General features: G+C 35.6%; 1 long non-coding RNA gene across 1 annotated transcript in view; it reads left to right on the top strand.

Annotated features, from left to right (window-relative positions):
• The window catches only part of LOC101929028 (uncharacterized), a 382,849-nt gene that overhangs the window by 125,031 nt on the left and 245,755 nt on the right, over positions 1-12,063 (top strand). The window lies entirely within an intron of this gene.

Raw genomic sequence — 12,063 nt, 5'->3', positions numbered from 1 at the left:
TCACAAGTTTTAATTACTGCAACATATTTACTTCTTTGGAAATAACAGTGTAATCAATGTTTGTTAATTTTTCTCTTTATCGTTAACTTTTACAAATAATATTTTAGTAAACAACATTATTTAAATCTTTGCTTAAATCTTCCGTTTTTCTTGAGGTGAATTTATGGGTATTCTTAAAGAATAGCGTTACGATTATTTTGCTCCAATAAAGAGAGAAATTAGCAGAATGTAAACATTTAAAATATTTAAGTTTATATCACTCCTTGAGACATGGCATATATTCTTATAAAATCACTAAATACTTTTTGCTTTCTTGTTTCTAAGTTTCTAACTTTTACTAATGAAGACGAACAAATACAATACAACATAAAATAAGTTTAGGAGTGGAAAACTAAAGCCACTTAGGGGAGAGGTGTTTCTGCTGGTGTGATCTTTAGAGGGAAGAGGAGGGTCTTACTTCCATGAATGGAAGCAGGAAGCAGTTTAAGGAACAGAAATGCAAATGTAGGGGAAGGGAATGGGGTGGATAGACTCAGCCATGAGCTTTCTGGCCCAAACGTCTATGGGGCATACCCTGCTAGTTGAGAGGGTGCTTTGAAGATAATTCTCCCTTAACATAAGCTAATGAAGTTTTGGATCCAGCAAATAACTAATTTCACGGAAGTACTTACTAGCATAAAACTTATTACCAGCCACCAGCCATCTTGATGCAGACTGTGAGAACATCTCTTGGTGCCATAAAGAATTGGACAGTAAGGGCTTCAGGGTTTCTGCACACTTCTTTCTTTGTCCTCTAAATTGCCAATAGACACGTCTATTCTTCCAGGGTTAAAGGGTAAAAAGTATGTAATTCTATCTGCCCATTTAGGGAGATTAGGATACATTATTTATCACAGTAAATTTTTAACTGCCTGCAATGGATGGAATTAGAACAGCATATGAATATATTCAAAGCATTTGATTTTATAGTATTTATAAAGTATTTTTTTAATTTTTAATTTTAGTGGGTACATTGTTTTATATATTTATGGGGTACGTGAGATACTTTGATACCAGCATGTAATGCAGAATAATCACATCAGGATAAATGCAGTGTCTATCCCCTCAAGCATTTATCTTTTGTTACAACCAATACAATTATATTCTTTTAGTTATTTTAAAATGTACAATTAAATTATTATTGACTATAGTCACCTTGTTGTGCTATCAAATACTAGTCCTTAATAATTCTTTCTAGTTATTTTTGTACTTGTTTACCATCCCCACTTTCTCCCCCAACCCCCACTACACTTCCCAGTCTCTGGTAACCATCCTTCTACTTACTCTCTATCTTCATGGGTTCAATTGTTTTAATTTTTAGCTCCTACAAATAAGTGAGAACATAGAAAGCATTATTTTGATTCCAATATTTAAATAGATATTTTTCCTTAAGTGCAGAAAAACAAAAAATGAAAAGATTACCTTGACCCCATATCATCCAGCATATGTTACTGTTTACAATTTGATATAAATATATTTGATAAAATATATTTCTTCCAGTCTTCTAAATACACATTTTATTAATGATCTAAGGCTTAATTATGCTGCAGTAACAGAAAATTTAAAAAAAGATAAACAATGGTTTCTTGCTCAGACTACATGCGTGAGACCAGCTGGTGCTCATCTCCATAAGATCTTCAGTCCAGAACCCAGGCAATCAGCAGCTTCACATGTGGCAGTGCGGGGGAGGAAAGAGATAGAAGAAAATGAGACAAGATTTGCACCTGGTGCATGGAAGAGGCTCGTGTAACTTCTGTTTACATTTCATTGGCTAATTCAAGTCACGTGGTGGAACCTGGCATTAAAGAGGCAACCTAGCGTGTGGTCAAACTAGAGTGAAGGGGTGTGGATGCAAAAATTAACAAATCTTTCCATGATTGTGGAGCAGCTCTATCATGATTGAGAATTCAGCGCCAGTAGCAGCAGGGATCTTACTGTGTAATGACGGGTCATCAAAGCCAGGTAGAGCTTTGTAAGATTTTTTTACACTAACATTCATACTGGATCTTTATATTCTTTAGGAAAATAGCAGAATAACAGAATTTTAAGGTCAACTAGAATGAGTACAATAAATTTGTTTGTGGAATATATTAATATCTAAAAATAACTTTGCCGTATAAAGTAATGCCAATGTAATTTTTTCTTTTCATTACTGCATTTTGAATCAAAACAAATTTGGCACGTTAAGCAGTATAGGAAACAACTTGAATTTAGCAAAGAAACTTGTAGGCAATTCAAGTAAGCAAAACACTGTATCACAGCAATCTAGCCTAATTTATTCTCATTGGTTCCTCTTATTGTCACATATTGTTCCATTCATTCCATGATAAATTGTACCTCTCTGGGTCAGAAAAAAAGTATTCAAATAGAAATAATTTCAGCAATTTTCTGATGTCACACTCTGTTTTTTCTTCCACGTTTTGAATTATTTTATTGGGACGCATACCCCTATGAGCTCAAGTCTTATCACCAAAGCAGGTTGCTAACTAACTGGAGTTTCATATTATGCTGTTGTCATCATCTTCTTAGATGTTGTATCTTTAAGACAGTTTCTATTTGGCTAATGGCATTCTTTATCTCCTGTAGTTTAGGCTTACCTTAAGTGAACCAATATTGAATGTATTATCCTATTTTCACTATTTCCAATAAAGGCATGGCCTCAATCATAGATATATTAGGCTTCTTTTAGCAGAGCTAGTGCAAGTATAAAGGTAGAAAGAGAAAAACTACTTGGCAAACAGCTTAGTGAATTTTTGCATTGTTTACTTGAAAATGAATCTTGTTTTTGGTGGCCATTTCTCAGAAAACTTTACTATCACATATTTTTATGTCCTAATTATTCAATTCAGGTTTCTTTAGTTATAAAATCAGCAAAAAGGTCTGTTTCTATTTATTTTCACATAGCTAAGACTTATAAAATTGTGAATTTAGAAATTGCTAGATTGGAATTAATTTCATCTTATAAACCCAGCATACTCATTTAATAATAGAATCAAGATAAACAATTATAGGATAGACGAAAAAAATAGAAATTGAACTAGAACATTGAACAGAGTGCTAACTACAAGTTCTAACATTTTTGTTTTTGTTTTACATGTTCAAATATTCATGCATGCATAAAGTATTACGTGGAATTTAAATAATTTCTTTAAAATGGAAATATGTTGTATTTAATGGACACTAATTTGTTTTAAAACTACGGAATGAATCCAGGAAAGAGGTGCATGATTTAGTAGTTGCCTAAATTGTACCTTCTACAGATGTTCTGAGTTTATTAAAATTAGTTATTATTAATTAGTTGCATAAAATATTAGCATATCAAACTAAAACCAAAGGATCAAAACTCAAAATGTTAGGTAGATAAAAACTCTCATGGTTTTTTGTTCCTTCAGGGATTTATAAGAACTTTCAGTCTTTTGCAGTGCTATTGTGAAACCAACAACTGGTTGTTATTTTGAATCTCAAAAAGGAATTCGAATTTGGGGTCCTAACAGGAAATGACATTTACCCAAAGGAATTCAAATAAGGAAATATTTGAAAAAGTAAGAGGAAGATATATTCAAAGCAATATCTTTTTCTCTTTTGGAATATGGAATGCAGCTAATGATAGGTGTAGTTGTATTTCCTGACGTTAATTTTGTGTTACAGGTGAGGAGCCAGTTAAGAATGGTCTAGTCTGGGTGTTAATTATGCACAGAAATCCACTGGCTTTGTTTTGAAGATAGCTGGGAATTTGGGATAGGATTAGAGGGGTTATAATTGCGAAGGAAAGCCCTTGCTTTGACGTCTCTGACTTAGGTATCTATCTAAATATTGCAAAATAATTATAATAGGTGTAACCTGAACATTGGCTTTAGGCATAGTATGATTTTAGAGATGAGGAAAAGTTGTCCATATATGAATATCTGCCAACATTTCCCCCATCATCTCAGTGTTAACTTTCTTTTCTGAGAAATGAATTCATTCATTCTTTCTACAACCAGAAGTAAGGAAGATTCATCAGTTTTAGGTGGAGTAGAGAGGAAGATTCAGGTGAATTTCTTTTGGACAGGTGAGAAATTTCTAAAGCAGGGCCTCAAATTGGAACTTGTGTATGTTGCTGTGCAGGGAGGTGTAAGCAAGCTGGGTGGTCAGCCTGGGAAAGTCAGGTCTTTTGTTGCATCACAATTTATAGCCCTGACTTTGGGATATGTGTAATAATTTCGCAAGTATTTTCAGTCTCTTGGGCACAGTGGCTCTAAATGAAAGCGTGAAGAAGGTAGTTACATCAGCATACTCCCACCTGCTTTAAAATATTTTCTCCTTTCCCCACTTTGGCAAATGGCCTAAAGGTGCTGCTAGTTTCCATGTCCCACCTGGTATCCTAAAACTTTTCACCAGCTCTCTTTGATCTACGTTCCTCAGTGTCTTTTGAAGCCTGCTTTAAATCCTGGTATTCAATACTAATTCATTGACCATCGTATGGTCAATACCATACCAAGGATCTGATAAAATAATACACACTTATATACCAGTAGGTAAAAATATCTTTCTTTCTAGGATATTTTGCATTTTAATGTAGAGCACTCATGATTAACTTTAAAAGACCTAATGTGGTGGAATTTGAGGAACAAGGGTAGTCCACTTAGAGAGACGGCTGGAAAAGAGTAGGTTCTAGGAACTCCCAAATAGTTGTTTAGTTAGCTTTCATTTAATGTGGGCTCTATATTTGGGAATATAAGAGAAACCAAAATGTAAAAATAAAATATTGCTGTTATGAGGACATTAGGAGATGGGCATTAGGACAGTTAACATGCTTCAAAAATACAGGCTTAAATATGCTTTGACTTATTTTCACCACCAATGCCAGGAGCATTATATGATGATTGCTTCAAATTTGTGAATTCAAGCAACCGCAATGCAAATTATATTTAAAGAGCTGGATACAGGTTTTCTCAAATAGATGTCCCAGCTAAAAGTAGGGATTTTGACACTTTACCTAGAACTTTGCAATTTATCTGTAGTTTAAGGTTTACCAGTACTGATATCTATTTTTTCTTTTTTAACATATTTTATTATTTTTATTTTTATAAAATTCAACTTTTATTTTAGATATGGGGGTATATGTTTAGGTTTGTCACATGGGTATATTGCACCCAGGTAGTGAGCATAATACCCAAATAATTTTATCAACCCATGTCCCCCTCTCTCCCTCCCCTCTCTAGTAATCTGCAGTGTCTGTTGTTCCCATGTTTCTGTCCTTCTGTGCTCCATGTTTAGCTCCCACTTATAATTGAAAACATGCCATATTTAGGTTTCTGTTTCTGTGATAATTCACTTATGATTATGACCTCCAGCTCCATTCGTGTTGCTGCAAAGGGCAGGATTTCATTCTTTTCTATGGCTATGTTGTAGTTCATACTGTATATATACTACATTTTAAAAATTCAGTCCACCATTGATGGGCATCTAGGTTGATTCCATGTCTTTGCTATTGTGATTGGCACAGAGATGAACATATGAGTTCATGTGCCTTTTGGTATAATAACTTCTTTTCATTTGGGGATATACACAACAATGGGATTACTGGGTCAAATGGTAGCTCACTCTATACAGATATTAACTCAAGATGGATTTAAGATTTAAATGTAAGACCTCAAACTCTTAAACTTCTAGAAGAAAGCCTCTGAAATACCTTTCTGAGGCTTTCTTGGCAAAGAATTTTTGGCTAAGTCCCCAGAAGCAATTGCAACTAAACCAAAAATTGACAAGTAAGACCTGATTAAACTAAAGAGCTTCTACACAGCAAAAGAAACAAACTATTGATAAACAGACAACCTACAGCATGGGGAAAAATATGTACAAACTCTGCATATAACAAAGGTCTAATATCCAGAATCTATAAGGAACTCAATTCAGCAAGCAAGAAACAAATAATTCCATTAAAAAAAATAGGCAAAGGACATGGACACACACTTCTCAAAAGAAGACACACAAGTGGCCAACAGACGTGAAAACATACTCATCATCACTAATCATCAGAGAAATACAAATCAAAACTGCAATGAGATACTGTCTCACACCAGTCAGAATGTCTGTTATTAAAAAGTTAAAAAGAGAAAAAAAAGATGCTGGTAAGGGTGTTGAGAAAAGTTAATGCTTATCCACTGTTGGTGGCTATGTAAATTAGTTCAGCCACTGTGGAAAGCAGTTTGAAGATTTCTCAAATTTGTTTTTCATTCTTTATTAAAATTAAGATAATTTCTAATCAAGTTTTAAGTCAAAATTTAAAATAATTTAAACTTTAAACTGTAAAACTTTTCTTCAGTTTATTCTACACTTTAAAATTGTCTATCTAGTCCATTCACTTGAGACCATATTGTTAAAGGAATTAACAGTTAAATATTCCAGCAGGGTAGTCAAATGTACAATTAGATGTTTGAGGTTTCTTCCAGAATTTGGATCTTATATATCTCAGAAGACTATTCAGTAGTCTACTTTGATTCTATTACAGCGATGTTGTCTTCTGTTTCCTGTTCATAAACCTGCTTGGAGGAGAGTTTCCAATTTATGCCAAGACTGCAAATTAGCACAAGCTGCTGCTGCTCTCCAGCAAATCAACCCGAGGGAAACTCGGGGGGAGAAGGAAAACTCGATGCAGACTCATAAAAATGTGAGAAATCCTTAGGAAAAAAGACAGCTACTTTGAACTGGTATGTGGCAAGGCAGGTAGATGGCTGCAGCTGACAGCAAAGGGCTTTTGGCTCAGCTGTTAAAGTAGAAATTAGAAAAGAGCAGTTGAAATACTGTCTTGGCTTCCCCTTTGCCTTCTTTTTTGTTGCAGGATTTGGCAATGGTTGCCCATACCTTTGAAGGCCAATACTTCCAATGGCCCATCCTTCTGTAGGGATAAAATCAAGGGAATGCAAAATCCCTGACAGGGTGGAGAATTGAGGAAAACTAATGGATGAGGACTCAACAGCCTTGGCTTTCTCTCTTTCATTCATTTTCCTCCAAACTTCCAGGGCTGATGGATGACAATTTAGGCAGTCTTCCTTTTCCTTGGTGTTTGAATGTAGAGTGTTGACTTGAAAAGTTACTTGGTGCGGTGAAACCAAATTGGAGTGGTTAATTCTGGTTTGTGGTAACTTGAGTTCTTCACCTGAAAGCCCATCCCTTCATAAACCTTTGACCTCTAAGGATTGACCTAGATTCCTTCTTCTGCCCCTCCCCTGTTCATATTAACAGCCAACGTATCTATCTCTTCAGGGATAAGCCAAATTAATAATATTATTAAATGCCAAAATACTAAGATATAACTTATTTAAATTGAACATTTCAGAAATATATCTTCCTTAAATTAAAAAATGTAAATTGGACAACATATCATAAGTATTAAAATGGAAGAGTCAGAATTTGAAATAGAGAAAATATGCAACAAGGGAAGGATATTACCAATAGGAAACAAGAATAAGATGTAATGAAAAATAATCAAATAGAAACACTAGGTGCAAAGAAGTTAACAGCTGAATAAGAAGCATAATAGATTGCATATGAGAATGAATATAGCTGAAGAAAGAATTCATCATTTGTAAGGTGGGATACCAGCACATTCCTAGAAGGAAACAAATACGATCGAACAGCTGAGAAATATCCATAGAAGTGCAAATATCCAGATATAGAAGTTCTAGACAGAAAATAATAATAAAGGTAATTTCTAGGAATTAAAATTCAAAAGTCCATATAATTAAAATATCCCTTACAGTATAAAACAAAAAAAAGCCTTAGGCTTATTGCAATGGCTTTTTTGGATGAAGTGATGTAGAGGTGATATGCAAACTTCTTAGGGTCACCAGATATGGACACTAGTTGTCCAGTAATCGCTGTGGGGTATACAGATGATACTCTGTAAGGCACTTTAAAGCAGGGTAGGGGTAAATTTGCTAATGGGAAAATGTGACTGGAGACATCTTTGGTGGTATACAATAAATACAGACTCTCTTGAAGTAATGAGAGATTGTTGTTCTGATCAAGGAAATTGTTGAAGTAGAAGTTTTGGTTCCCTCTAACTCTCTTTTCCAAATTCTTGTCTGGTCAGTACTTAAGACAGATGGATCCTGGAGGTTACCAGTATGAAGGATTGAACAGGTTGGTATTTCTGATTACCTTCATTGTAACTGATATTGTAAAGGCTATAAAGGAAGTACCACAGATCACGGGGGATGGTATGCTATCTTTAAGAAAAACTTTATAGACAAATTAAATTTAGTAGACTTTATTTGAGCAGAGAATGATTCACAAATTGGACAGCACTCAGAACCAGGGGAGGTTCAGGGAACTTCGTCCAGCCATGTGGCAAGCAGTTTTTATAGACAGGAAAAGGAAGTAACATACAGAAACAGCTTTATTGGTTACAGTTGAGTGTTTGCCTAATTTGCGTCTTGTGATGAGGCATTGGCCCTATATGGACATGGTCTGATCAGTTGGCAGCCTGTGTTTGTTTGGAGCTTAGTGGCTGTGATTGGCTGAGACTCAACTATTTCTTACAAAAATAAACTCTTAGGTTGCAGTTCATTCTTAGGGATTCAATGTATGAAGGTTGCTTCAGGCCAAATTTAATTTAATTTAGCACTATTATAGCCATTCCAATTTGGGAACCCAGCCAGTAACAATTTGCATTCTTGTAGAAAGTGAATCAGTATTTATTTCATGCATTGATATGGGGATTTTAAAATTTACTAGCATTTTGCCATATTCTCATGAAGGATTTGGAGTTAAAAATCACTGATAGAAAGTCAGTTTACTACACTGACAGTATGAGAATTGCCTCTTCAGAGAAAGATCAGGTTGAGCTAAAGAAGAGAGGCACCTAAATGAAAAACAGAGGCTGGCTGATAAATCCTGCTAAAATTTAAGCGGGATTTATTAAATTAAATAAAATTTAATTTATTTATTCCAACCCATGAAATTCTGAAGAATGTATATAGACAGGAGAAACCAGAGATAGTTCTTCTACTTTGAGAAATAAATTACTGGTTCTCTCATATACTGGAAATAGGCAGGAAACTTAGAGACTGGCAGGGCTTTTGGGGTTTTGGTTGAATCATATTTATCTATTAATCCTGTTGGCCTGAACCGTAATGTCACTAAAAATAAATCTGAATTTGAGTGGGGCTTTTGCAGAAACAAGTGTTAAAGATATACCAAGGGTGTTGGCACAGATATTTTCACTGGACACTTACGATCCATCTACTCAGATAATATTTGAAGTTGTTGTAACCAGTACATATGCAGATTGCAGGAATTTGCAGAAATTGAATAGGGCTATTCAGTGAGTTCTCTTGAAGTTTGGCTAAAACTGCTGAGTTGTTTAGCATATACAACTCAGGAGAGAAAAGTGAGATTGTTACTGAGGGTTGGTTCAAACCACTCCCACTACTGAAGGGCATCAGAAAATTCTGAGGACAGAAATACTGATTGCGCCATGGGTGATATCAGAGAGACATTCAGATAGGAGGAGTGCAGCATAGCAAAGCTTGTTCACAAGGTAGAGACAGTATATTAGAAAGATGCTAAGAGGGTAACTTCAGGGGAGCCTACAGTTTATATTAGCAGTTGCTTCGCTGACTATAGAACCAAAAATAGAGCCCACTAAGGATACTGTGTAGTCTGGGTCTTACCATTCTCTCCCAGTCATGGAAAAGGTGGCTTCTTAGTCCACTGAAAGGATCCTCTAGAGTGAGAATACAGAATAAGGGCCACAGGGCCGTTTTGTAAAGCCTTGAAGAAGAAAGCAAGTTCGGGTTTGCACAAGGGCAATAGCAGTGGAATTAGCAGAGGGAGGCTTGTTAGACTTTCACAGGCGAGTGTTTGGATATTTACAGACTCTTGCACTTTAACCAAAGGTCCTGCTGTATGATCTGGGGAAATGGGCCCTAAATGAATGAACAATGAAGAACGTATCTGCATGGTTTCTTGTGTGGACATATCTGGAAGCTTACTGGAAAAATTAAAGTGATTGACTTTAATACCTGCCCACAATAACAACACAAATCCCAGGTCTTCTGACTTCTGCCTAAGAATGTAGACATCTAGAAGGAGTACCCATCTGCCTTCTAGCAAGAGAAAGATAGATGGTCCTCAAAATCCTAATTTTTCTGGAACCTATTGGAGAGCTAATGCTGCAGGACAACAAGTAGCCTGGCATCTGAGGAAAGACAGGTGCCTCTGCGGACAGATAGAGAACAAGCATGGATTCACCTGTGTAAGAGCATAAGAGTAAGAGAAGGCCACCATACAAGTGAATAAAAAGAAGTCACAGTGACTTTTAATTAATTTTCAAAGACTGCTTCTCTGATACTGTGAGAGTATGGAAGCTATGAAGACAGCCAGTTGCAGGCTTTTCTCCATAGACTTCACTATGTGCTGATGAAAAAAGTTTATTGGCAGGGCAGGTACTAATATAGACTACTTTGGAGATGCAGCCTGAAGAAGAGGTGCATCCACTGCTGTAGGAAACACAGGAACCCATCTTTGGTTTCTTCTCACATAAGGAAAAAAGACTTTTAAGATGCTGGGGAATAGCAGAAAGCTCTTGGCCCAGTGCAAGGAGAAGATGTCTCCATTGTAGGTAGGGGAAGGAAAAAAAAAAAAAAAAAGGAAATACTTTATCCATAGGTCGAAGCAAGAAATGTGCTCAGAAGAGCCCAGACCAGTAAAGGTCTCCTTCCATTGAGTTGGAAGAAGCTCACTGAGAAAATCCATATTCTAAGACTCAGGGAGACAATGACTGCTTAAACTGAGGCTGAATCAGGATGACAGAGAACCTCGTCCACAACCGTAACGCCTCAACCTCCAAGACAGAAGCAACAGATTAACACTGGAGATGACTAGAGAATTTCCCTGTGAGGGGCAGTGGCACAGGGAAGCCCTAATGAGTGGAGCAGAAACATCGTGAAAACCCACCAGCAAACTATCTCCAACCTAAGAACAAACAGGAATTTAAAGACAGTGGTGAACAAAACTGAAAATTGGGCTCAACTCTTGAGATAAATTTACTCACCTTCCCACAATAATAGCCTAGCAGAAGACAAATGACATTTACCTAACACATAAATACTACTTTTATCAGTCTCTACCACTCTGAACACTATGTCTGGAAATTAATAAAAAAATTAACAGACACAAAAATCAAATTAAAAACAAAACACACAACCCTTACTGTCAAGAGACAAAGTAATGAACTGAACAAGACTTAGAGATGATCCAGATGTTGCAACAATCAGACAGGTAATTGAAAATAACTATGGTTAATAGGTTAAAGGTTGTAAACAAAGATGTACAACATGCATGGATAGATAAAGATTTCAGCAGAGAAATGAAAATGACAAGAAAGAGCCCCAGGAAAGTGCCAGAAATGAGAACCTCGATAAGAAATATGAAGAATGCCTTGGGTGGGCTCACCAGTAGACTTGACACAGCTAAGCAAAGTGATAGAGGATGTGAAAGTCAGTTAATAGTAATTACCTAAACTGTCAAATGATAAAAGAGTGAAGAAAAAAGGAAACAAAACACTCAAATGCCGTAAGAAAATATCATTAGTGTGATATATGTGTCATTGAAATCCTAGAGAAAACAGAGAGAGAATGTGAGGCAGAAGAAATATTTGAAGAGATAGTGGTTACAAAATTTTAAAGAATAATTTATCAAACTATAGATATAATAACTTCAGAGAACCCAAAGTAATTGATTGGATAGTAATTGATTGACTAGAAATCAATAATGAATTCGCAGATGTGAACAGTATTATCAAAGCCTTCACCAACCAAATCGACTTTTATTGAACACTAAATATAAGCAGAATATACATAATTTTCAAGTGCATGTAGAACATATAGTATAGTCTATATATCGTGGTTCTGGCCATAATTCAAACCTCAATACATTTAAAAACATGTACATAGTATATTCTTTGATCATAATGGAATTAAAATAGAAATCACAAACAGGTATCTGGAATAATTGCCGAATATTTTTACTGATGAG

The sequence above is a fragment of the Homo sapiens genome, chromosome 8 (assembly GCF_000001405.40).
Source record: "Homo sapiens chromosome 8, GRCh38.p14 Primary Assembly".
Lineage (NCBI taxonomy): Eukaryota > Metazoa > Chordata > Mammalia > Primates > Hominidae > Homo > Homo sapiens.
The sequence above is the reverse complement of the archived record's forward strand: the minus strand, read 5'-3'. Positions and strand labels throughout refer to the sequence as shown.